Here is a 3,145-nt window from a genome sequence, read left to right as displayed (position 1 = left end):
TGGATAATTTTTGGAAATATGTTCCCGTGTGCTGTCCTCAAGGGGCCTTGCCAAATCCTACTCATCCTTGGGACCTAAATAGAGTTCCCTCCTCTCTGAGCCCACCTGGCTGCCCAAGTACTGGGCTTCCTGACCCTGACACCCTCATCTCTCATTGGGCCCAGCTTGGGACACAGATGAAGGCTCCACACTGTCCTTAGAGTGTGGGTCACCCTTGCTAAAACATTAGCTGACAGGGCAGGGACTACCTGGGGAGGGAGAAGGAGAGGAAATACAAACTTCAGTCAGATGGACCTCACTGGAATCCTGGCTGTATCATTTTTAAAACCCATAAACTTTCTGTATAATTTTGAGCCTCAGTTTTGTCGTCTGTAAAATGGGCATGACAATGCCTGCCTCTCAGGGCTATAGTTGAGGAATGAAGAGGGTCAGGTATGAAAATCCAGCCTAATAATCTGGAGTGGTTAGTGCTCAGTGCATCACAGCATCCCATGCCCTGCAGCCCCTCCTCGCCATGCCAGGCAGGGTGCAGGCTGGGCAGAGCCTGCTCCCAGCCAGGGCTGCTTGGCGCATGAGTCATCTCTTCTGTCCTCAAGAACTTGTGGTATGCCCAGTTGTCTGGGGGCATCTGTGCATGTGTCCCTGTAGCTGGGTGACCTCAGGCTGGTTGCTGTCCCTCTCTGGGACTCGGTGTCCTTTTTGAGCAAGGGATAGGTGCTCTATTAGGCTTCCCAGTTTAGACAGTCCATGGTCCCAGGTGCAGGGTGAAAGCAGCTTGCTTGGGCAGGGGTGGAAGTCTCTGACCCTTTCTCAAGCCCTCCCTGGTCCAGGTGACAAGCAGCTGCCTAACACTCTGGCAATCAGGTAGCCAAGGTCAGCAGGTCAGAAGTTAATCATTTCCTCTGAACACTGGCAAATGCATCCCTACTCGCACAGTCACCAGTTGCCTTCACAGGGACAATAAAATCACACAACCAAGGCAAGACCCAGGGGGCAATTTTTTGGAACTGGTTTGACCCCAGTTAGCCAGACAACCTTGGGTACTTTCCTTCTCACCGTGGCCCCAGCTTGTTCATCTGTAAAATCAGAGTCGGTGACTCAATGGGGAAAGTGCAAGGGAGCCGCTACAGGGGGCACCATTCCTGGATGGATTTGCGGGTGGGAAATGTGGTCAGGGATGGGGCTGCCTTGCACCCGACTCCTTCCTCTCCTGGCATAATCTTTTAACCAGTGTGCTTTGGCATGAGGGGTTTGCTCTGCCCAGAGTATCCTGCCCTCCAGCTCTGACCCTGGAAATCTGATTGACCCCATCCTCTCACCCAGCTCCCATCTGTCCTCCTGGTGAGAGAAGCCTGCCATGCTCTCTTGGGCTCATCAGGTCCCTCTGTCCTCTGATCCCGGGTAACAGCGAAGGTCTACCCAGCACCCCACTCAGGTAGCCAGAGGGTGCAGAGCCGGACAGGACAGGGGTTCTCAACTTCCACCCAAACTGTGCACTTCCTTAGGGCAGGAGCCATGTCTCCCCAGCATCAATCCTTCCACAGGGCCAGCTGTGGCCAAAGCAGGAGCACAGGATGCATGCTGCAGGGGCGCCATGCAGAACGAGGTGTCCAGGCAAGATATCCAAGACAAAAGGCTTGGATATCTTACAAATCCGGGGGGTTTGTTAGCGCATGGGAAATGGACTCCAGGAGAAACGGAACATCTCATTTCTAGGAGGATGCAATTAAATACCAGACTTCTCCTCATAAAAAGACACATCCTATCCAAAGAACAATCAAAGACACCTCTTATGGAGAGCAAGGGTCTAGCCCTGGCACTGCCCTGGGCCCCCTGGGTGAGCTGCCTGCCCGTTTGGACTTCGCATGCCTCATTTTTCTCTGGTGTGGCATGAAAGGAGGTCAGCCATGTCCACCTCTCATCTTCAGCACTGCAGGTCTCAGTGTCCTCACCAGTGGCCACGATGCCTGCTAGGGGTGGAACGTGCTGGGCTTATTCTCTTGCCTGACTCTGCCTGTCCACCTTGGCATCCCCTAGCTTGCCTTGTGGACAGCCCAAGGGATCGCTGCTTTCCCACACAGCCTCTTGCACCAGTCCAGTGGCTCTGACGTCCAGAAAATGTATCATGCTCATTCCCACTGGACTCCTTGTTAGCCTAACCCTAGGGTGAGCAGCAGAGGGGGAAAAAGTTAGATTTTATAAAGCAAGAGAAGCAAGCTTATGGGGAGAGTGCCTGCTGCATGTTTGCCTTCTCTGTCCTCATCCTGGGGCTGGGACGAGGGGAGGTGGATGGAGTGCTGGCTGTCACCAGGCAGGGCCTGGCCTGGTGTTGGTCCCAAGCTCTGCCTCTTTAAGAGAACCCTGGGGCCAAGATTTATTGGCTGCTGCAGTCCTGCTGCGTGTGTGGCTTTGGTATTTACAGGCCTGGGGAAGGCTGAGGTCTTCCTTCCCAGACTACACAGCTGAAGTGAGCTGGAGTTTGGGCAGAGAATGGCTGCCATTCATGCTGGAGTTTGCAGCAGAACTTGGTGTGCAGCCCAGGGGAGCAGGCGGCCTTGTACTTATAATAGCTCAGTCCTAGGACGGAAATCCCACCCTCCGGGTTCAGACAGGGAGGGGAAGGGAGGGGCCACTTGTCCCCTCCATGTGCCTGGGCACCCATGCCAGGGTCCAGCTGGGGGGCAGGCAAGAGCTGTTGCCTGAGGGTCTACCTTGTGGATGCAGGCACTAGAGACGCAGCAGTGAGGAGGGCAGGCAGGATGTGCCTCAGGAGCTGAGACCAGGAGTGAGATGCCAAAGCAGGTCACAGATTAAATAATGCAGAGGCCACCCGTGCATACTGGGATGTCCAGGGCGGACAGGGTCCCCTTGGCCAGGGCACCTCAGCTCTGAGTCTTCTGCTTACCTGGGGAGTGGTAGGAATGGCATCTACCTCATAGGGTTTTGCAGGGCTGAAACAATGTAATTAATTAATGTAATTAAATAATGTAAATAAATCGTGTAATTAAATAATGCATGCAAAAGGCCTGACGTAGTATTCCATAATGGTTCTTATTTTTACCATAGCCATGGCTGCTAATTGTTAGGGAAGGTAAACTAACACTGCTTCTTAGCCATGGGGTGCTGTGGGCGGAGCACTGTGAAG

General features: G+C 53.6%; 1 annotated feature.

The window, feature by feature from the left end:
- Positions 2,258-3,145: an enhancer, noted in NCBI's record as "H3K27ac-H3K4me1 hESC enhancer chr10:80536737-80537624 (GRCh37/hg19 assembly coordinates)". NCBI's record gives its function as "activates a minimal SCP1, AML or CMV promoter by ChIP-STARR-seq in naive H9 embryonic stem cells {active_cell/tissue: H9 hESC(naive)}" and the evidence as "EXISTENCE:reporter gene assay evidence [ECO:0000049][PMID:30033119]".

The sequence above is a fragment of the Homo sapiens genome, chromosome 10 (genome assembly GCF_000001405.40).
Source record: "Homo sapiens chromosome 10, GRCh38.p14 Primary Assembly".
NCBI classification, from domain to species: domain Eukaryota; kingdom Metazoa; phylum Chordata; class Mammalia; order Primates; family Hominidae; genus Homo; species Homo sapiens.
This window is presented reverse-complemented; position numbering and strand designations above follow the sequence as displayed.